General features: G+C 44.8%; 1 protein-coding gene across 28 annotated transcripts in view; it reads left to right on the top strand.

The window, feature by feature from the left end:
- The window catches only part of OCA2 (OCA2 melanosomal transmembrane protein), a 380,308-nt gene that overhangs the window by 240,558 nt on the left and 115,590 nt on the right, over nt 1-24,160 (top strand). For 25 of the 28 annotated variants that reach the window (XM_047432619.1, XM_047432618.1, XM_047432609.1 and 22 more), the window contains 2 exons: nt 7,283-7,376; nt 13,706-13,799. The exons of the other annotated variants lie outside the window; for them this stretch is intronic. In XM_047432619.1, coding sequence (XP_047288575.1) covers nt 7,283-7,376; nt 13,706-13,799 — 188 coding nt within the window. The remainder of the gene's footprint in view (nt 1-7,282; nt 7,377-13,705; nt 13,800-24,160) is intronic. 28 annotated transcript variants of the gene reach the window in all.

Below are 24,160 nucleotides of genomic sequence, written 5' to 3'. Positions count from 1 at the left end.
AAATTTTATAGTAGAAATATCTATTTCTCCTTCAATTATGCCAATTTTTGTTTCATATATTTCCACGTTCTATTTTTAGGTGTGTAAATATTTATAATTGTTGTATCTTCCTTCTGTATTGAATCATTTATAAATATATAATGTTATTCTTTGTCTTTTGTAACCTGTTTTTATTTAAATTCTATTTTGTCTGACAATAATGTACCCACCTCAGTTCTATTTTGGTTACTATTTACATGTAAAATATTTTTTCTTACTTTTAACTTATTTGTGTCCTTGTATCTAAAGAGAGTCACTTGTTAACAAAATGTGTAAGATGTATCCTGTTTCTTATCCAGTCTGCCAATTTCTGTTTTTTTTTTTTTTTTTCTTTCTTTCTTTTTGGAGGCAGAGTTTCACTCTATTCCCCAGGCTGGAGTGCAGTGGTGTGATCTCGGCTCACTGCAACCTCTGCCTCCCAGGTTCAAGTGATTCTTCTGCCTCAGCCGCCTGAGTAGCTGGGATTACAGGTGCCCACCACCACACCTGGCTAATTTTTGTATTTTTAGTAGAGATGAGGTTTCACCATGTTGGCCAGGCTGGTCTTGAACTCCTGACCTCAGGTGAACAGGAGAGTTTAATCCATTTACAATTAGTGTAATTTCTGATAAAGAAGTAATTACTCTGCCATGTATTTCTTTTCTGCATATCTTAGATTTTTTGTTTCTCAGTTTCTCCATTACTGCCTTTTTTTTTTGTATTTAGTTGATTTTTTTGTAGTGTACAGTTTTGATTACCTTGTTTTAATTTTCTGTATATTTTAATAGTTATTTTCTTAGTGGTTACCTTGGAAATTTAAATTAACATCCTAAATATATAACAACCTGTCATGAATAATACCAAATTAGTTTCAATAGCATACAGACTATTTAGTCCTTACTTCCTTTACAGTTCAGTCCTTACTTCCTTCATAGATTACATCTTTATTAGCTGAATGCCTATTAAATATTTTTCCTGTCTCTTTCTCTCCATCTTCTCTTTCTGGAAATCCTATAATGCATATGTTGGTAGATTTGATGGTGTCCCACAGGTCCTTTGGGCTCTGTTTATTTATTTTTTTTCTTTTACTTTCTGCTCCTCAGGCCTACAATTTCTTCTTTTTTTGACATTTTAAATTTTATTTATTTTTTTAAATTGTGGTAAAACACATGTAACATAAAATGCACCATCTTAATCATTTTTAAGTGTACAGTTTAGTAGCATTAAGTAAATTTATATTATTGTACAACTATCACCACGATCCATTTCCAGAGCTCTTTTCCTTGCAAAACTAAAACCCTGTACCCATTAAAAATAATTCCCCATTCCCTAGTCCCCCAAGGCCTTGGCAACCACCATCTTACTTTCTGTCTCTTATGAATTTAAATATTCTAGATAAGCCCTGATAATTTCAAACGTCGTATCTTCAAGTTCACTGATCCTTTCTTCGGCTTCCTCAATTCCACTGTTGAACTCTTGTAGTGAGGTTTCCATTTAAGTTATTATACTTTCAGGTCCAGAATTTCTATTTGATTCCTCTTTATAATTTATATCTCTTTAGTGATATTTAAATTCTGTCTGTACATCATTTTATTGATTTCCTCTAACTCTTTGCCTATGGTTTCCTGTAGTTATTGAACCTCTTTAAGATAGCTGAATTAACATCTTTGACTAATAATTCTAATGCCTAGACTTCTTCAGGGATGATTTCTGTCAATTGTTTTTCTGTGAATGGGCCACACTTTCCTATTTGTTTGTATGTTGTGTAATCTTCTTTGTTAAGAGCTGAACATTTTGAGTATTATGTTGTGGTAATACTAGAGATCTAATTCTCCCATTCCTCAGACATTGCTGAGTCTTGCTTGTTGAGTGCTGGAGCCATCCATTTATGATTTTTCCAAACATTTTTTGAAAAGTGTATGGTCATTGAAGTTTTTCTTCTATTATCTCTATAGTCAACTAGTAGACTGACAAAGATTTCCTTAAATTTCTGGCTCCCAAAAAATGTGTGTGTGTGTGTGTGTGTGTGTGTGTGTGTTAGGGGTGTGTGTTTGTGTGTGTGTACAGAAATAATTACTGCCACTTTAAATTCCCTGGAAGCTGTTCCATCACTTGGAGGTTGAAACAATGGCCAGCCTCTGTGCTGGCCCCTCAGTGATCAAAACAGTGGCCAGCAATCAACATACATAACCTCAGTTTTTGGAGGACAAGGTCGTTATTGCCTGCCCTGATATCAGCAAGTCACATCCTAAACATGAGCTGCCACCCCCACAGCTTCCTGCCACAGGGAGAGAGATGGGGAGTGACAACCACTATTAAAAAAGCCAAAATTCACCAAAACCCTTTTTATCAGTCTTTCCTGTGGTTGCTGAAGGTGTTTGACTACACTCTAGACTTCCAAAATAGTTACTGTTTGAATTGAATTGTCTCCCCAAAACATATACTGAGGTCCTAACCCCGGGTACTTTGGAATGTAACCTTACATGAAAATAGGGCCTTTACAGAGATAATCAAGTTTAAATCAGGTCACCAGGGTGGGCCCTAATCCAATATGACTGATGTCCTTACAAAAAGGGGAAATTTTGGCACAGACGCACACAGGCACGGGGAAGGCTCCTGTGTGGCTGGAGTGATGCACCCACAAGCCAAGGATGGCCAGGATTGCCGCAGACACCAGTGGGGCAAGGAAGGACCCTCCCCTAGAGCCATCAGAGAGCACAGCCAGGCCAACACCTGGTTTCACACTCTCGCCTTCAGAGCCGTGCGGCAATGAAGTCCTGTTGTTTTCAGTACCCAGCTCGTGGTGCTTTGTGACAGCAGCTACAGGGAGCTCATACAGTAGCTTCAGACAGTTCCTGCCAGTTCAGTCATCCTTTAGGCAGAGGTAGATTCCTGGAGCTTCCTGCTCTGCCATCTTCTGTGCTGTCATTCATTAGTTTTAAATTTTTCTGTCTGCCACTGTAAAGCAAGCTCTATGAGGGCAGGGATTTTTGTGTCTTATATTTACTGTCTGTCTCTTGTATCTAGAGCAGAACCAGACACAAAATGGAATATTCAGAATAATTATTGACTGAACTAAGAATAAATGAGCATAGACAAGATAACATGGTCCCATCCAGTGGAGGAGGGATAAGTGTTAAATGCAATGATGGAAGTAAGCTCTGGGCATAGTGTGTGATAAAATAGCAGCCACATTGAGGAACTCAGGGAGACTTCTCAGAGGAGAGATGCCCAAGCCTCTTATGGGCTGAGCGGGAGGCTATGTGAGGGCAAGAGTGACCATGTGCCTAGGTGGAGATGTGGGCATGGGCAACTGCACAGAAGTGGCAGGTGGTGCTCAGGTGAAGGCCTGTGAAGACTGTAGTGTGTGAGGCAGAGGACAGCCTGGCGAGGGAGCGCTTGCCTCAGATTGAAGGGTGTGGAGTCAGGTCAGTTGCATGGGCAGACTTCAGAGATGGAAAGGTCATGGCTGGCTGCATGGAGGACAGAATTAAAGGGGCAAATGGTGCATCTATGTTGTGGGAAGGAGAGCTTGATCAAGGCAGGGCCTGGGAGGACAGGCCACAGAGTTGCGGGGAGACCCTTGGGCTCTGGAGTTTAGGGAGCTGGTTCTTATCAGAATTGCAAATCCCAGAGAGGGCTTGCTTTGAAAACAATGTCAGAGCATACTTTTTGAAGCAATCAGCCTGTAACAGAATCTGGCAGTTGTAAGTATGCAGTTTGGAACATGGGGTAGGTTTTCTCTGGCTTTGGGTGATGGACCTCGCAGCACAGGAGCACTTGCTGGAATTTCCACATCACTAAGCTTGAAGACATTGCCTCCTCCCTTGATACTGCAATGCCCCCACAAGGACCCAGGGTCCTGTGCTTAGTTGTTCTGACCCTGTCTCCTTGTTCCGGGTGGCGTGCCGTGTTCTGTAGGGTGGAGGCTGGCTTTGCACCAACAGCATGGTGCTCAGTGCCTAGGGGCCCCGTGGCCTCACAGTGATGTGTGTGTGTTAGCTCTGCTCATTGATAACTGGCTGTTGTGAGAAGTTGCACTTCGCTCACTCCTCCGAAGAACGAAGACATCAAGTCTAAAGGTGCCTCTATGATAATCGCGTTTATCATAAGACAACAAAAGCAAAGCTTGAAAAGTGCCTCAGGGACTGCATGGGAGCACCCTGCTGCCAGGAGTTTCTGATTCTGCATCAGATTGATAGACGCAGAATCAGATGCTTTTCCTAGCGTGCTACTTATTTCTCTTCCAGTGTATATTTGACGCTACTGACAACAAAAAATTGAGCTGTTCAACATGCCCCTTGTGACCCAGCAAATATGAAGGGCTCCTTCTCAGACCCTGCAAGGCAACTCTCGAGAACCAGACCCTGGACTGGTGGAGACATGTGCAGTAGCAGGCACATGGGTCAGCGGCCTGGCTGCAGCTTCCTGGTCTGGACTCCGCTGGGGCTGGGCGGACCCTGCTCCACATGTCCTCCCCATGGGGACTCCCCAGGGCAGCAGCAGTGCCCAGGCTCCATCTTCTGTTGTGGCCAAGAGCCTGAACCTCCAGAGGGGCATGCAGAAACACAAGATCTTCTGTCCAACCCACCCACATTCTATCGGTCAAAGGAAGCCACTAGGCAAGCCCAGAATCTGGGGTGGGGAGGAGGACCCACCTGCCCCAGTGGGATGCAGCAGAGGGCACACACGAAATCCTGCTGCAGCGGTCAGGAGCTGAGAGTGAATGGATCTTCCCAAGTAAGCCCTAAGGCACCTCTTTCATGACATTGGGGGACTGAGCACCCAGCAGAGGGTGGCTCTCTTGCCCCTTAATTCTCGGCATCGAATATTATTGCACATCATTCACATCTCCACACTGGGGTCCGCTTTCTGTTTGTGTTTTTGTGTAATGTTTTCCAGATCAGCCACCATTGGTGCTCTCCTCCTGCTGCTCTTTAGAGTGGTTGACATACGCAACTGCCCGGGATGGCGGGCCCAGGGGTCTCTCCTTCACACCCTGTGGGCTCTCTGAGGTGTCTGGTGGGGACAACATAGCTCTCCATTCTCCGGAGCCTCCCGGAGGCAGGCTCAATGGCTGTGTCCTTCCCAGCTCCTTCTAGCAACATAAGCCACAAGGGGGCATGCTGTTTGAACACAAATTTCTTTTTTTTTTTTTCTTTTATTATTATACTTTAAGTTTTAGGGTACATGTGCACATTGTGCAGGTTAGTTACATATGTATACATGTGCCATGCTGGTGTGCTGCACCCATTAACTCGTCATTTAGCATTAGGTATATCTCCCAATGCTATCCCTCCCCCCTCCCCCCACCCCACAACAGTCCCCAGAGTGTGATATTCCCCTTCCTGTGTCCATGTGATCTCATTGTTCAATTCCCACCTATGAGTGAGAATATGCGGTGTTTGGTTTTTTGTTCTTGCGATAATTTACTGAGAATGATGATTTCCAATTTCATCCATGTCCCTACAAAGGACATGAACTCATCATTTTTTATGGCTGCATAGTATTCCATGGTGTATATGTGCCACATTTTCTTAATCCAGTCTATCATTGTTGGACATTTGGGTTGGTTCCAAGTCTTTGCTATTGTGAATAGTGCCGCAATAAACATACGTGTGCATGTGTCTTTATAGCAGCATGATTTATAGTCCTTTGGGTATATACCCAGTAATGGGATAGCTGGGTCAAATGGTATTTCTAGTTCTAGATCCCTGAGGAATCGCCACACTGACTTCCACAATGGTTGAACTAGTTTACAGTCCCACCAACAGTGTAAAAGTGTTCCTATTTCTCCACATCCTCTCCAGCACCTGTTGTTTCCTGACTTTTTAATGATTGCCATTCTAACTGGTGTGAGATGGTATCTCATTGTGGTTTTGATTTGCATTTCTCTGATGGCCAGTGATGATGAGCATTTTTTCATGTGTTTTTTGGCTGCATAAATGTCTTCTTTTGAGAAGTGTCTGTTCATGTCCTTTGCCCACTTTTTGATGGGGTTGTTTGTTTTTTTCTTGTAAATTTGTTGGAGTTCATTGTAGATTCTGGATATTAGCCCTTTGTCAGATGAGTAGGTTGCAAAAATTTTCTCCCATTTTGTAGGTTGCCTGTTCACTCTGATGGTAGTTTCTTTTGCTGTGCAGAAGCTCTTTAGTTTAATTAATCCCATTTGTCAATTTTGTCTTTTGTTGCCATTGCTTTTGGTGTTTTAGACATGAAGTCCTTGCCCATGCCTATGTCCTGAATGGTATTGCCTAGGTTTTCTTCTAGGGTTTTTATGGTTTTAGATCTAATGTTTAAGTCTGGTACCAAAACAGAGATATAGATCAATGGAACAGAACAGAGCCCTCAGAAATAACGCTGCATATCTACAACTATCTGATCTTTGACAAACCTGAGAAAAACAAGCAATGGGGAAAGGATTCCCTATTTAATAAATGGTGGTGGGAAAACTGGCTAGCCATATGTAGAAAGCTGAAACTGGATCCCTTCCTTACACCTTATACAAAAATCAATTCAAGATGGATTAAAGACTTGAACACAAATTTCTTACAGAAACTTCACAGCCACTGTGTTTCATTGATTACAATAATGCAAAGTGCATCAACGTCAGAAAGGTGCACCAGAGGCTGGCACGGCTGACTAGAGAATGGTGCTTCCTGGCTGTAGAATCTGGTACCTGATGTCATGCTGTGAATGTTAGCAGGCTCAGGGTGCCTGGCAGGGAGCAGCCGTGATAAGTGGCTTAGCACAGGGGACCCAGCATGCAGTTTAGGGTCAGGGGACTGTGTGTGAGTTCCGGCTGGATTGCTTTCAAGATCTGTGCTCCTGTGCCTCTCTGCATCCTGGTCTCCTCATCTGTCAAAGGAAGGAGTAACAGCACACTTGAGGGATGTTGAGGATTCAAGATGACGTGTGCATAGTTAGCACAGCACTCCAGGGTTCTATGAGCTCTGTTTTAATGGCCATGTTCTCAGGCCCTGTGTTAGACTCTGTGTGCCTTTACCCCGTATAAGAGCCACAACAGCTGGCAGGGCTCAGGACCAGGAGGACCAGTTGGTGGCAGCTGGCATCAAAGACATACAGATGAGTTCAAACTCAAGTTTCTGTGGATTCCAAAGTCTGCTTTGGTTTCTTTCCACAAATCTTATGCTCCTTAGAGTTTGAATGCTGAGAAAGCATTTGGATTTTCTAAATTGGTCACAGTATGGCAGCTTCTCTGAGCGTCCATGGGACGTGGCATCAATGTCCTCTTCCTCCACAGATTCCCGTGCTCCTGAACCTGAGCCACGACCCTGAGGTTGGCCTGCCCGCACCGCCGCTCATGTATGCCCTGGCCTTCGGTGCTTGCCTGGGAGGTAAGGGGCTGCTGACTGCATGGGGGTGGGGGTGCACGCCCACACTGTGGTTCAGCCCAAAGCAACAGTTAGTGTGTATCAGATTAAAAGCAAATGAAGGAGAGTCTGGATGATTTCCTGAGTGGACACACATATTCAGCTTTGACAGAGCAATTCCAGAGCAACTCCGTTCCTTCCCATTCTCTGCAGAGCTGCCCCCGACTTCCCGGGCCCATTGCCTGGGGATGACTGGTTCTGATGCTTCACAGCTAATGTGTTCCCGCCGTGTGCCTGTGTGGGTCGTGCTTAGGTTTAGAAACAGATTTTGAATCAGAAGCCATCCTCAGTTGCAGTTCTCTTTCTCTCTTAAGCAGTGGAGGGACAAATGGGTCAGCTAGAAGGGGAGACTCTAACCCATAAGAGTGGGAAGAAAGATTAAAGGATGTTTTTGGGGTGGGCATTGCACTTTGGAGACAGTGAGGAGTGGATTAGAGAGAGTGTTGGGAGAGACTGACCTCTGGTGAGCAGACACAGGGTTGTGGATGCCGTTGCTGTGGAGAGAACAGCGGGGGAGTCCTTCTCACAGCTAAGAAGCCTGATCACCTTTGGGAACACAGGGGGATTGTGAAGAATCTTAGATCAACACATCAGATACGCTTTAAGTTTTTATTCTTATATCCAGGTATTCTTAGATAATCCAGCTTTCTTTGTTCTTTGATTGATTTCTGACTATTAAATCAATACCTCTCTGGTTAGTTTATCTCCTTGGCTGAAAAGGGGGATTAATGTCATTCAGTGAAGTTTCTGTAATGTCAGCAGCCAGCTAATTCATGTAAGTCAGTGACTGATGCCTCAAGTTCTTCCGAGAGTGTAGAACTTGTTGAAATTGAGTGCTGAAATTGCCCCTAAGAACCAGTCCCGGGAAGGCAATGCAGAGCTACATTTAACATCAACAATAAGGAACAGGATCCAAGGACACCTGGAAATGCATCCCCTATGAGGATTCTGTTCATTTGAACTTGCTGAGCATCTGCTATACCCTGACATTGTAACAGACAGTGAATTCACCCCCCTGCTGTCGAGTGGGGAGGATGGTCACCTAAACTAAGGTTACAGCATAGACTGACACGTCCTGTAACGGTGGTGTGCCCTGAGTGCACAGGGCCCTGAGGAGAGACTGGAGACATCGGAGGAGGTTCTGCAGACAGGGAAGTGTGAAGCCAGGTCATACAGAGTGACAGGCCTCGTGAGCTAGTTTGGATTTCCCCAAAACATGTAGGATCAATGTGGAGGAGATTTCTCTAGGAGAGACATCAATGTGTGCCATTTATAGGCTAATTCCTAAAATAGGATTAGACACTTATTAACTGAGCACACTTTGGAAGCAGGGATGCAGCGAATAATGAATGTTTTCAGTCTTGGGAGCGTTTTAATCTAGTAGCTCTGGCGATTGAAAGGCACCTGTTCCTGGCACGGCAGGAGTGCAGTTGTGTTGGGAGTTAACTCTACACTTATTCTCTCAAGGCCCTTTCTCGTTGACTCAAGATTTAGCATTTTACAGAAATTATGGTAAAATATGTGTAACCTAAAATGTACCATCTTAACTGTGTGTAAGTGCACAGTTCAGTGGCATTAGGGACATTCACAGCGTTGCGCAGCCGTCACCACCGTCCATCTGCAGAGCTCTTTTCACCAGCCCAGGCTGAAGCTCTTTCCCCATGAAACACCAACTTCCCATCCTCCAGGGCTGGCATTCTGAGGAACACTTTAAATAGAAGTTTTCATTTGGTTTTAGAAATGTCATTTGCTCTATAAATTGGAGGTGATTCACTGGATACTTTGAAACAACTTTTTTTTTTTTTAACTGGTCTGACCCCAGTATTTTTTGGTTGCTCTTTTCATGAAGAGCTAAGAACTATTCAAATAAGCCTTCAGAAAAACCTGCCTTTGCCTGAGTTTCCTGGAAAGCAGAGGTGGAGGCAAGTGCACGTGCTAAGGTGTTACTGGCAGGTGCAATCCTAAGGCAGAAAACCTGTGGGAAGGAAGTGAAGTGAGCGTGGAGAGTGAAGAAGTCTTCCCTGCTGCAGTTATCTAGAGGCTGTGGTCAATCCAGGCAGCATGTGACTATTTTCTCAACAACTCAGGCAGCACGTGGCTGTGTTCACACCAATCCAGGCAGCATGTGGCTGTGTTCACACCAATCCAGGCAGCATGTGGCTGTGTTCACACCAATCCAGGCAGCATGTGGCTGTGTTCACACCAACCCAGGCAGCACGTGGCTGTGTTTAGATCAATCCAGGCAGCACGTGGCTGTGTTCACACCCACCCAGGCAGCATGTGGCTGTGTTCAGATCAATCCAGACAGCACGTGGCTGTGTTCACACCCACCCAGGCAGCACGTGGCTGTGTTCACACAAACCCAGGCAGCATGTGGCTGTGTTCACACCAATCCAGGCAGCATGTGGCTGTGTTCACACCAATCCAGGCAGCATGTGGCTGTGTTCACACCAATCCAGGCCACACGTGGCTGTGTTCAAACCCTAAGGCTGCTGCTTTCCTTAGGTTATATCCAGGTCTTGAAGGACTGGTGGCTCTTCAACTCGACAAAGGGAATGTCCATGCATAGAGTTAATTTATATGTGTTCTGTCAAGTGGAAAATCTCACTGTTCTGAGAGTGTGGCCTATTGAGTGGAATGTATACTGCAGACACAGGAGTTACCCTGGAGGTTCGATTCTTTGTGTGCAGCATTCATCAAAAACAGAGCCAGGCATGGTTTTGAAAATGCCCTTGTTCTGCCTCTGGATCCATGCATTGTCTTCCCATGCAGGATGACCTGGGTGTGCCAGGACAGGCAGGGCTGTTCATGTGCAGGCCCGACCCCCCTGTGCTTCTCCGTCAATGGAAACTGGGAGGGAGGCTTGAGCTGGGGAAGTGACACCTGGGGCCTTGTTCTCCCTACCACATGGAGCCCATGCCACGTGGAATACCCTTAAAACCCCACTGGTATCTTATTAAATGACTGCAACATCGTTGGCATCTGAATAATAGGCTCACATTCTTAATCTCATGTGAACCCCACAACCACCCCAGGAGATGCTGGGGAAGGTGGTGATGGTCCTCATAAACACAGAGGAAGCAGACTCCCTGCATTTCTGCCCCTGCCCATGATAGGGAGGGATGGGCAGCTGGGTTTCTGGTCCTGGCCAGGGACTGGCATAGGGATGGGCAGACCAAAGCCATGTGGAATCCAGGTGACATGAGGGAATGTCTTCTGTGGGAGAGGGAGGAGCTCTGATAATGATTTTCCTGGCCCTGAGACCAAACCTCAGAAAACATAGGGGTCCCGCTCCCTCCTCTGGCCATGGTCATGTCTGGATGCGTGGTGAGGAGATGCCTGCGGCATCTGCAGCTTGAGTGTGGGCCGGCTCTGTGTGTTGCTGGCAGGTGGCAGAGCGCACAGGTGCAGGGAGCAGGTCCTGACGGCGCCACAGAGCTCTGCTGTCGCTGTGTCTGGACTTGTGCCACCTGGGACTGCCTGTCCCCAGGAGGTAAATGCTTCCTACGGCTAACACCGGCTGGTTTTGCATCTTCCTTTCCCTACTATCACAAATACCTCAGTTAATGTAACAGAAATGGTGGCAGATTTGCTCAGCTTACAGAGCTTAGAAGGTTTGAGACTTCAACTGAGGTCTTCTGAATTTAAATATAGCATTCCTTCTGTTGCACTGGCGGACACACTTTATTTCCAATACATCTGTGCAGAACCTGCCAGGGCTGACCCATAACCTCCAGGCCTCTCTCCGGGGCCTCTCCAGGGCCTCCTTTCCGGAGGCTCCTCTCCGTGGCCTCCTGTCTTTGGCCTCCTCTCCAGGGCCTCCTCTCTGCTTTGGTATCAGCCTTGCTTGTCTCATTTTGCTGACCAATAAGACAGGAGGGGCCTGTGTAGGAGCCTATGCCATAGCCTTTGCCTTCGTCATCAAAATGTGTTGGTGCCAGTTCTCCTCCCTGCCCTCCTGTCTTAGATGTGGCTGGGAAGCCATCCTGTGAGGGGAGGGAGAGGCCGAGAACAGTGGAGACCTGCCTGACAGTAGCAGGCCTAGCACCAGCTCCCCGCCCTCTGTCTCCAGGCTTCTCCTTACAGGGGAGGAGGTGGTCGCACACGTGTCTAAGTGCTGTTCATCAGGTTTCTGTTGCCCGTAAAGCATTCTTTAAAGAAACAGGGCTCTGTGCGACTTAACGAGTTGATGTCCTGCCTCCCAGGCTATGAGTCTGTGAGAAGGCTGAAGGACTTCTGCAAGGGGATGGCTGAGAAGGAGGGCCCTCAGGGAGGGAGGCCAGGCAATTCAGACACATCTGGTTGCAGGAGGGCCTCTGGGGGAGAGCAGCCCCTCTGGTGTCACCCACACGACACTCCTGAGAAGATGGGTGGATGTCTGATGTCTGAAGGCTGAGCAGTCACCCCCATGACATAAGCCAGCCCTGCCCTTGCCTGTCCTCAGCCGCATCTCCCTTTCCAAGGAAAGAGCTGTGCTCCCCACTTGCCCCCCATCCTCACCCAGCCTTCCTCATGCAGGCCCCAGGCGGTATGCAGCCCCTCCTCCAGATCCTTCAACATCCTTTCCTCCTCCCCATTCCTTTCCCTGAGTCCAGAGTGCTCAGGACCAAAATAGCCTCCTGAGCAGTTCACCTTGGCAACCTACAAAAGGAAATGGAAAGATCCTTCTGTTTCCTGGGAAGTGGTCCCTCGCAGATCAGGAATCCACGCCCACAGCAGACAGGGTGAAATGCTCTCCACCTGGGCAGGACCTGCCTGCAAAACTATCATTTTAATTGGAAAATGGGCATTTTTTTCAATCACTAATCCTTAATGGGAGAGAAAATAAGTGGAGTCTTTTATTTTCAGCACTCACGCAAGTTGCTGACTGTAAACTTGGACCATGGGTTGGGCTCCACTCATGATGTCCTGGAGTTAGTAGGGTTTAGGGTGCAGGCTGATGCTGTCCTGGTACCCAGGTGCATTCTTGGGGCTGAGCAGGGCAGGGCCTGCTGAGGAACATCGGCTTCTTTGTGGGAAGAGACTTGTCGGACAGTGAGAAATGATGGCCACATTAGATGGCTTGGCAAGGGTGTGGAGTCTCACTGGGCAGGTCTCCTGGCCAGGGAAGGAGTGGGGTTGGCAGGCAGGATGATGGGATGGAACCGTTGGTGCAACAGTGCCCAGAGGGGGCTGTCTGGGCCAGCACTGCCCCGAAGACTCGCATATCGCAGCTGCTCCAGGCCTTTCAGACACTGCATGGCTGTCTACAGAAAGGCCTGGGGCAGCCTGAGCCCCACCTCTCACTGATCTTCCTTTGGAGCCAGAATGGTTCACGGTCAGGACTTGCCACTTCCCGACCTGACACCTGGGCACACTGCTCACCCTGTCTGTGCTGTGTCTTCATGGGGACGTGGGGCCTCCACCTGCTCTGTTATTCATGTTGTCCAGCCTCTGAAAGGTTGCTCCCTCACACTGACATGCTGTAGGCAGCTCCAGGGCAGTGTTGCACAGTTCACCCATCCTCCATAGAAGGAGAGAGAGATGGAGATGGAAGGCGACTCTTCCTCAACCGTGTGTGCACGGACATCAGGACTCAGCTAAACTGGCTGAGCCCAAATCACGCGCCTGTTCGTGAACACTGACCACGATGGCTGGGAGCGACGGAGGAGGCTCCTGGGCCTTCCCTGGGTGTGAGTGTGTGTGGGGGGTTGGATCTCATGACCCAAGTGGCCACCTTGGCCCTATTGCTCACCAGGCTGCGAGGATGGCACGCATGCATGTGTGCACGGTCATAAAAGCTTACCCAGAGAGGTGTTTTATGTCAAGGAGATGCCATTGGTGAAGACGTGAAGGAAAGGGGTTCCACCTGGTTGTTTTTACCTATCCTTTCATCCACTGAAAGAGTTTCCTAGTGTGTGGGCCTGGAGTCCAGAGGAAGGTGGTTCCTGTCTGAGACTGCATTCCTGAGGGACACACGTTCTGGGCTTTGGTTGTTGGCCCCACTTGTGTTTTTCTCTGAAAGACACACAGCCCCACAGTGACTTGCCCATTCTCCTTAGCTTTCCTCCACTCTGTTAAATACAACAGCCATGGTCTTATCCATAAATGAATCATGGTATTTGTAATCAGTGAGCTTATTTTTTGCTTGCTTGCGTGTGTGTGTGTTTCCAGATATTTACAAAGCGGTCACTTTGACTATAAAATAATAATCAAATCAAAGCCTGTGAGATGATCTAAATATTACAAACCAAAGAGAACAGAAGCTTACCACCAAGATGAACTGGGATTTTGTTTTTAAATTTTGACTTTAGGTAACGGGACACTGATTGGCGCGTCGGCAAACGTCGTGTGTGCAGGGATTGCAGAACAGCATGGATATGGGTTCTCCTTCATGGAATTTTTCAGGTACTTTTAAATTCCCTTTAAATTTTCTGTTAAACTGTCTAGTTCCTAAGCTTACTTAATTAAAAAAATAACACATTAAATGCTAAAATAAGCATATTTTTAGCAAGTAGAGAGACTGTGGTGTAGGGGAGATTAGCTCAGAAAAAAACACATTAAAAATTTATTGCTGGTGGCTCACGCCTGTAATCCTAGCACTTTGGGAGGGCGAGACGGGTGGATTGCCTGAGCTCAGGAGTTTGAGACCAGCCTGGGCAACATGGTGAATCCCCAACATGGTGAAAACACAAAAAAAATTAGCTGGGCATGGCAGCATGTACCTGTAATCCCAGCTACTCAGGAGGCTGAAGCAGGAGAATTGCTTGAACCCGGGAGGTGGAGCTGAGATTGCACCACTGCACTCCAGCCTGGGTGACAAGTGAGACTCTGTCTCAAGAAAAAAAAAATTGCTGGGATTAGCTCCATAACACAGAGGATGGTTCAGATATCCTGGATGACTCAGGTTGAGTCAGGGGGCCAGGAAATGACTGTGGGCTTGCCAGATATTTCGTGTGGCTGTCCTCTTGAATATTCCAGTGGGAGCTTGTGCCCTGACTGTCCACGAAGACGGTGCTGGATTGCACAGTCCCTGCTAGCAAAGACCCCGTAATGTTGCAGACTGAAGCCAGGGTGGCGGAATGGGGGCAGCCTGGCAGTGGCGTCCCTCTCTTGTGTGGGCACCTCTCAGGAGGACTGTGCAGAGATGAGGCCCTCGGTGGGGGCGTCCAGCGGATGCCTGCAGAGTAGAGCCTCCTCTAGGAGGAGCTGAGTCCGCGCTGGGGCCCTGACTGCTGACACGTCTGTGTGTGAGTAGCACACTGCACATTGCAAACAGGTGAGGGGGCAGAATGGAGGCTGGAAACCCCTGTCAAATGGTGCTGTTAAAATGAACTTCATTTATTTGGTGTCGAGCAAGTTTCCTGTGGAGTTCTTTGTACATTTGCACAGGGTGTATGCACAATGATGGTTCTCAGAACCAGCCTCGGGTAAAGATTTGGAACCTCAACTTTGGTTGAGTGGCAGAGAACCCTGTAGCCAGTGGAGACAGCGATCCCTGCACCAGGCACTGCTGCCTGGGGCTGGCTTGGGAACAGAACCCTGGCCATCATACCCAGGTGAGGACCCACACACAGCAGGCTCTTTGAACACTAGCACGTTGGATTTTGCCAGACTTATTATATTGGCCATTTCCATGGTTCGTAAGAAACTAGTAATACCTGGTAATTTTGCTGAGGCATTAATTTGAATGACACTCCTGGGTGACTTGGGTGTGAGCCTCAGGGGACGCTGAATGTGCGTCTCCCGGTGGGACTCTGGGCATATCGCTGACCCTGCCGCTAAGGGACAGGGTTCAGAACTTAATGCCTGACCCAGTTCTTTCTGTTTGGACTCTCATCTGCCTCTGCTGAGCATAAAAGAAATCATCCTGTCAGTTAAACAAGAATTACCTTAATGAGAACAGCATTGATTACAGCAAATATAGCAGTGGCCTTTGCAGGGTGGCCTACCACACACTGCCATCTTCTCATCTTTGCCCTATGGTCAGTGAGGGTCAGACCCAGAGCACAGCCAAGAGAGGGGATCAGAGACAAGTGTGCTGAGTGGGCAGCAGGAAGAGATTCAGTTCACCCTCTCTACCAGCTCTGCCTCCTTCATTTGGGCCGGGCTCCTAACTTCTGCAGCCCTGGAAGGCCGTCGTTCTCACATCCTCCATCTCCTCTTCTTTGGTTGGCCAAGCATACTATACACTGGCTCCTCTACTCTCTGGCAACCCATAGGCTGGATTTCAGAGAGCAAAAAGCATGGCTTTTTGCAACACCAGTTGGTCTCACAAGTAGGCATGGGAGGCCTGGCATTAGTATTTTTTTAAAAAGAAGGTTTTTAGGGCAACCCCAGTCTGATCTTTTCCCAAGTAGCACTTTGGAATAATAACCAGGGCATCTGCCCAACTGAAAGGGTTTGCGTCCACTCCACCTGGGACATGTAAAGTGCCTGAGGTTCAGCTCCAGTGGGTGATGCATGTGGGCACTGAACTTTTCACATAGTTCTTGCATTTGGTGTGCAGTGTGTGACACACCTATGCGTGTGTGTGTGTGCGTGTGTGCAGTTACTGTGGTGAACAGCTAGTATGACAGGAAGTCGGTGGCCTCAGAAAGCTTGGGCAAGACTGCCAGTTGTCTCCTTGAAAGCTCATTAGTCCCAGCCTTATGAATCACATGCATCTTCTTGGATGGAGAGTGTGTCCTTGTGGTGAGTGGTCAACAGAGTTCCTTCCTTGTTTTTGCCTGGTTCCAGTTCTTCCAGCTCTGACCATCCTTCTTGCCAGGTCCTTGCTGTGCAGAAATCAGAGCAGTTTTTGCCCAGGGAATGGTTATCTAATTGTAGTAGGGCCTTTATTTGCATGAATTTCTTAATTTGCAATTGCACATGCACTGATTTGACTTTTATCTAACTCAAAGATTTATTTTCACAAAAGGGGGCTTCCTGTGATACACATTGCAGAATGTTTTAAAGAATTACCATTTCTCTCATGATGTAGATAAGTATTTAATGGAAAATATGTAAACGAATAAAATACAAAAGTAACCTATAATTTTGCTACCTAGAAATAGCCACTGATCGTAATTTGGTGTGTTTTCTTACATTTTTCCTGCCTACCATAGATTACATATTTTTTACAAAGCCTTTGAATCACATTGTGTCCTACCTTTTATACTTTATACTCTATTGTGAGCATCTTAACAAGACATAAATTGTCCTTCCAAAATAGAATAGCTATGCCTCCAACAGGCAGATGTATCCTGGTTTATTTTACATTGAGGCATTGAGGTTGCTTGCTGTTTCTTGTTATGGTGTGATAAATATCTTTATAGATAAAACCTTGTTTCATTTCTGATAATTGAAGATAAATTTTCTGACATAGAACCGCTGGTTAAATGAGTGATGTTTTAAGAATCCAGATAAATATTGACAAGCTGGCATCCAGAAATGTTGCTCTCCACGCATTTTATTGAACTTCACTGCTGAAACTCGTCACTGCCATTTGAAATGCTCAAGGTTCATCTGGCTGGCTAACAATAGACTCATGTTTTGTTTTAATTAATTCTACTGAGATTATACTCTTTCTGTATAAACACTGAATATTTGCATTTCTTATTTTGTAAACTTTCTATTCATATCCTTTGCCTTCGTCTTTCTCTTGAGAGATGAATTTTCCTATTTTTCAGAAGCTCTCTTGCATCTACAGAAATCAGTTCTGATATATATGTTGTGACTATTTTTAAGCTTATTTTTGTATTTTAAATTTGGCAAAGGAATTTTAGATATTCTATAGTCAAAATGGATAAACTTTAGCTCCATTTTTATCTATACTTTTTGCTTTCATTAATTTTTTAAAACTTTTTCTTTCAAGATAATTGTAGATTCATGTGCAGTTGTAAGAAATAATTCAGAGAGATTCTGTGAGCCCTTTGTGCAGAAACCCCTGGTAGTAAAATCTTGACAAACTATAGTAGAAGATCATAGCCAGGATGCTGCCATTGATGCAGTCAAGGCACAGAAGAGTTCCATTGCTACAAGGCACCCTTATGCTGGCCTTTTCCAGCCAGCTCTGCATCCCTCCCACCTCTACCCCTGCCCCAATCTCTTCTCCATCTCTAACATTTTGTCATTGCAAGAATGCTACATAAATGGAATCATACAACATGTGACCTTTTTGTATTGGCTGTTTTCACTCGGCATCATTGTCTAGCAATTCATCCAAATTGTTTCACATGCCAGTATTTGATTTCTTTGCATTGCACTCCATGGTATGGATGGACCACAGTTTGTTTAGTCATCTCCTCACTGAAGAACACCTGACTTGTTTCCAGTTTGGGGCTCTTACGAATAAAGCAGATAGGACATTTTCTCCCAGTCTGTAGACTGTTCATCCACTTAACAGGTTCTTATACAAATCAAAAGTTTTGAATCTTAATGAGGCCCAATGTGTCAAAAAAATTTTTAATGTGTTGTGTTTTTGGTGTCAAAAGCATGACAACAGGAGACCTTTTTGCCTAGCCCTAGATGTTTTTCAAAGATTATCTCCTATGCCCTTTTTTTCTCCCAGGTTTTACTGATTTACATGTTACATTTACGTTCATGTTCCATTTTGAGTTAAGTTTCATATAAGGTGTGAGGTTTAGATCAAGGTTTTATTTTCTTTTATTTTTGCATATGGATATCACTGCACTCTAGCACCGTTTGGTGCAATGGCTATGGTTCCTCCGTTGAGTTGCTGTTGCAGCTGTCACTCATCAGCTGAGTGCATCTTTGTGGATCTGTTCCTGGGTTCTCTGTTCTGGTGTATTGATCTGGATGGCTGTCCCTCCCCAGTAGTGCACTGTCTTGATTACTGGAGCTATGAGAGACAACATACTGGATTACACTTTTATTAGGATCAGAAATATTGGAATAGACACATAATTTAAAATTACCCTAAAAATACTGGTATCGAGAGGTCTGCAAATATTTTCTTAGAATTATTTTTAAATTTTGTCTGTTTTGGTGGTTATTTCCCCCTTGTCATTTCTTATCTGTGGATTTGTTTTTGATTAGTGGCTTGTGATTCATCTAGTTCTGTTTTATTTTTCAAAAAATAAGACTTTGATGTATTTCTTAGGTCTAGTTTTCTGTTTTCTGCCTTGTTCATTGCTGCATTTTTCTTTATCATTCCCTTCCTAGTGCTTTCTCTTGGTTTACTTTGCTGTTCTTTAGTTTTTTCAAATTTCAAATTTATTTCATTTATTTTTATTTGTTTGTTTTATTTGCCATAAGTGTTTAAGGCTAAGCTCTTTCCTCCGAACACTGCTTTAAATGTATTCCATGGAGTTTAATATATAATGCTTCCATTGTCATTATTTCTAGGATTTCTGTATTTTCAGTGTGGCTTTCCTTTCATCTGAATTGGATGTTTAATAACAGTTCTTCTCAATTTCCAGTTTGAAGAATCTTTTTATTTATTTTATTAATTTCTATTTTGATGGAACTTACCTCTGGTTTCTTTGTGACCAAATTTGATCATATTTTATGTGTGCATTCTCTGTTGTTATTGTATAAACTTACATATTTCTCAAATCTACCCAATGATTATACTAGGTCATTTATATCCTTACTTATTTTTTGTCCACTAAATCTGTCATGTACTTTAAGTGGCATGTTAAGTATTTCCTGTTACAAGTGTGTCTCTTTATTTCTTCCTTGAATCTCTTACTATTTATCTTTGAAAGGTGGTTACTATGTTATTTGGTGGATACATATTTATCACTGTTCTGTCTCTACTGTGAGTCGGAGGCTTTTAGCACTATTAAACATCCCCTCTGTCATGCTTAATGCTCTTTGACTTGATTGTACTTTATTCAGTATTGGAATCACAAATCACTTGCTCAGCTTTTAGCCTTTCTAAATCACTTTGTTTTAGGTGTGTCTCATATAGACTGTTGGGACTTGCTTTGTGAATCAAAATAAAAGTATTGTTTTCTTTTAATAAATGAACTTAGTCCACTCACATTTATTGATATGACTCACACATTTTCCATATTATAGGTTTTATGTATATTTTAGTTGCTGTGTTTCTCTATGTGTATATCTTTTTTGCTCTCTTATTTTCTAAAATGTTTCTTTGCAATTTGAAAGATTTGTATTTTGATCTAGTGATTACCTTTGTTCTTATGCTTTTTCACTTGCCTTTAGTCTTCTGTTTTCTTACGTAGTCTTTTATACCTTGTTTGTCTATCTTTAATGATAACCTTTGACTTCTACCTCTTGCCTAAATGACCACTGATAAGTTTATTCTACAGTACTTTTCTCTTCCCTTCTTTCTCCACGCACTTACTAATTGAAGTATTTCTGCTTTCAAAACATATAACATCATTCATTTTTTCCTCCACCCCCCATTGTTCTATGCTTGTTTCTCTTAGATCCGTGATTAAGTTTATTGGATGCTCACCATTGGCCCTTTTGCTGAAGTGTTCCTGCCTTTTGACAGGTGAAGCTAATCTTTGAGAGCCCAAGATCAGCTCCTGGGTACAGTACCCCTGAGCTTTCGTAGGTTTAAAGCTGCGTTCTACATCCTTAACATTTGACAAGACACTTTGCTTCCTAATACACCCTTGGTTCACACGTACCTTCTCTGGGTTTCATGAAGGTGTTACTCCATTGTGGCCTCAGCTGTATGTGTGTGTGGGATGTGTGATGGCAGCCCCGTTCTCTTACATTTGAAGTTATTTGATCATTTTGCTACAGGCTTGGAGGGTTTTACAAATTTATCTTCAGAGTCTAATAGTTTTACTAAGATATTCCTAGGTATCCCTTGGGTATCCATGGGCCTAACATGTAGCATTGTATCTTCTTTTGAGTCCAGAAAGGTTTCTTGGATCAGAGTTTTGAGTATTTGTTATATTTTACGATTTCACGGATCTCTTTATGTTGAGTCTCACTGGCCTGGCTTCCATTTCAACCACTTTCTTTCTGGCTTGTTTTTACTACTCAGCTGTTTTTGGCCTCCTGTTTGCCTTCTTTCTTTAATGCCCCTGATTACATTTTCATTTGATTATAGTCTTCCTGGAACACCTTATAATTTAATCTTCATTTCTTACATGATTTGGTGTTTTTCTTTGGCTTTTCATTTTAGTCTTCATGGTTTTGTCGTTTTCTGCTCTCAGCATTTGGGTTTTGGATTCAGGTTGTTTTTGCACAGCCCCCAGTGCTTATCTGAGGGTATGGAATTCAGTATAGAGTGTTGTATGTGGTTTTGTGTTTCCTGGTTTACATGTGGCTTGTTGGGGAAATCTTTACCAGCTTCCGTATTTAGATTCTCATGCTCTGTTTTATTATTAGGAAAGCCTTGCACGGGGCAGTCAGCTTTCGGCTATGTACTTGTGGACAGGGTGGCCAGCCGGAGTCAGTTCCAGGGTTCCTAATTTGAGGAGATTCCTATTCTTTGGTCAGTGTGGTGGAGAGCAGTCTCTGTAACAGCTTTTTTTCTTTTTTTTTTTTTTTTCAGTCGTGGGGCATTTCCATTCATTTTTGGTTCCTTTTGTCTTACAGGATTCTGCATTTCCCCCCCTGCCCTCACTGTTTTTCCCCTTCCCCTGCCAGGCTTTGATGGGCACGCCTGCCTGCCTGTTTGCTGTCTTCTCTTGCGGGTGATGCATGCCTGCCTGTCACCTGGAGCCCAGTGTATGTCAATGTCTTTTCTCCGTAGTCTATACACAAATCCACCAGGATCGTTTTCCAGTGGTTTTATGCTTAGGTTGGCCTTCCTACTTCTGGCTGTTACTTTCCTCAATTTTAGAATTTTTATTTCTTTCTTCTCTTTTTCATGAAAATTATCTGGATTTCTCTGGCTCCTTGCAAGGGTGTGGGGCAGGGGCCTGAGAGATAGCTTGGCTGGGAATTGGTGTTTTCTTCTTTACTGCCAAGTAATAATGTGGAGTTTATGGTGCTCTCCATCTTCTAGTTATGTCGAAAGGCAGGCTGCCCACGTAGCTTAACCTACATTTCTTGTTGATCTGTGGAGTTTATTGTGAGCAGATGCAGTGATGTGGCATTGGGTGGCTGTCAGTACCTTGCCTACCAGAAGCAAGACAGTGGCATCGCTAATCCACAGTCCAGAACTCGTTCTTTCTGCCATGCCCAAGGAATCTTATTTGCGGCACTTCCTAGGGAGGATATGATTTTATTTGCTCCATTGGAGAAAATGATTTTCTGACTAGAGATTATGCTAATGTTAGATTCCCTCACTGGGCAGAAACATGGTCTGCAGGACATTCCTCCATGGGGACCAGGGCATACCGTTTCAGTGCCACCCACGTAAGATACACCAGTCAATTAAAGAGTGTCTCACTAATTGATAATGCTGATTTATACTATTTCTTTAAACATAGAGACACATTAAGTTGAATTTTATTGTGGAATTTAGCTTCCAGTAAAGCTTTTGTCACCTCATTTTGTTTTCTTTTGTGGTTTCTTAGAACATAGCTAATTATTGTGAGGCTTTAAAAACATCAAGTTAATAAATTAAATGAAAAAGTGAAAAAAATATCTAGAGAATAAACCATCTAGAAAATACTGTATTCGAAGCAATATTTGAAAATGACCTGGCTTTGTTCAGTGTGATTCAAAGGGATCATTACCATTGACTAACAGTAAACATAATAAAATTCTTTGTAGATTTATAAAGCCCTCATTCTGTCTGCTGCTTCAAGGGTAGCCAGGCAGACATTCATATTTTCTCAAAGGTCAAAACAGTTGCTAATGTAATATTGGGTGCCTTTTCAAAGGTTAATCTCTGTATTGATCACAGTGCTGTAAACTCACTGAACCAAAGTCAAATACTTTCTTTTCCCCTGAGGGTTAAAAATCATGAATGTGAGATCAATATTTTCTGAACGTAAATTTCAAAGTTAGTCTCATCCACATGTTATATTTGCTAAAGAAGAAAGAAAGAAAGGAAAGAAGGAAGGAAAGAGAAGAAAGAAAAGACAAGACAAGAAAAGAAAGAGAAAAACAGGCTATTTTTCTTGCAGCTCTCATCTGGTTAGAGCAGAAATGGGCCTTAGGCTTCTCAAAGCAGGCTGATCCTCCGTGTCTGAAGGAAAACTTAAAGCCACTCACCCCCTGCCCTTTTCCCTCCCTTAATGTAAACTCAAAGAACCTCTCCTGTTGGTTTGCACCTCGACGTAAAATCTTCAGCCTTAGGATAATGCCATGTGGGTAGATTTGTATATTGAACCCTTCTAATCAGTGGCCCTGAGAAAGGTTACAATGAGTGGGGCAGGAGCTGAGAGCTAGGAGCATCGCAGGGCTGTCTGAGGCTCCTGAAGGCCAGAGAGTCCTGGACAGTCTGAGAGAGCCACGAGAGCCGTAAATACTTGTCAGGAGGGTGTCAGGAGAGCTGGTGCAGAAGAGGTTCTAGTTAACCATGTAGTGATTTTGTTATTCAAAATGGCTCCACTTTGATTCGGGGTGACCACCCCCCCTCCACTGTATACTTTTCAGGAAGCAATGCCCCACAACCTCAGTACTGGGAGAGGCACGCAGACCACTAGGGGAGAATGGGAGGATGGCACAGAGCCCAAGAGAGAAGATCGACCCAGCACACTGTTACTGAGGTGCTGGAGAATGAGGGCCTCACACTGACGGGGGTGATGATGAGAGGCCAACGCCATTGCATATCATTGCCAGGAGCCTGAGAACAGGGCCTGCGCCTGAGGCACCAGAGCCAAGGGGAAGGCCCTGGTAAAGTCACCTGTCCCACTCACTATGGCTGCCTAACAAGTCATCCCAAAATGCAGGGACTTAAAGCAACAGTGACGATTTCACGCCTAACTCTACCATCTTCATGGAATTTGAAAGGGCAGCTGGTACTATTCCACTGGGGATCACCAGAGCTGGCAGAGGCCAAGGCCAGAATCATCTGGAGGCTGCTCACTTATGTCTCCTGTCCAGGTTGTGGGGGCCCAAAGAGCACTGCTGGGATGGCGGTGGGGGCCTCAGACTTCTCCCTGCATCACAGGCCCTAGAAACAGGGGAAGGAGCTTCTTGATGGGAACGTGCGCTGTCAGGGCTGTGGGATAAATCATGTGGGATGGAATATATTAGTGCTGGCGAATTTGGGAAATGCAACCTGCCGCATCATTTTATTTGCCCAAGACTTGTAATCCATATGATCTCATAATTGCATTTTGCTTTAGCCATTCTGGGTTGGGTTTTCTGTCACTTGTAGCTGTAAGAGCCCTAAGTGGTACAAAGGCCCAAAGAAATGTGCTGCCCTTCTTGATCTTTCTCAAGGACTCATGTTAACTGCAGTCGCTGCAGCAGCAAGTGTTGGATCATAGACTGATCTTTGCTTTCTGCATCCCATTACGTCCGGAAGGCCCAAGTTCCTATTGTGGAGGCTGTATCAAGAGCCAGGCCTCCTTGCTGCTGAATGTCCTAGGTCTGAGATGAGCGTGGTGCATTGTCCCGTTGGCTTAGCTTGTGGTTCACTTATCAGCAGTTAGGAGATGGCGCTTGTCAACATGAGGAGCAGGTGCCTGTGCAGCACCTCGTGTTTACCGCGGCTGAGTCCCCAGCCTTGACAGGAGCCACTAGTTACCATGGAAGGTGGGTGACAGGCGCTGACTTAGCAACATTCTGCAAGCACCAGCAAGTGGCTTTTTCTACTCCTTACTCCAGCTGATCCTTTAATTCTCCAACACCAAGTAGGTATCCCACAATTCAATTCAGTTCTAATACCAATTACCCGGAGCTATTGTCAGAGCACAGGCTAAGGGCTCCATCCC

This window comes from Homo sapiens, chromosome 15 (genome assembly GCF_000001405.40).
Source record: "Homo sapiens chromosome 15, GRCh38.p14 Primary Assembly".
Lineage (NCBI taxonomy): Eukaryota > Metazoa > Chordata > Mammalia > Primates > Hominidae > Homo > Homo sapiens.
This window is presented reverse-complemented; position numbering and strand designations above follow the sequence as displayed.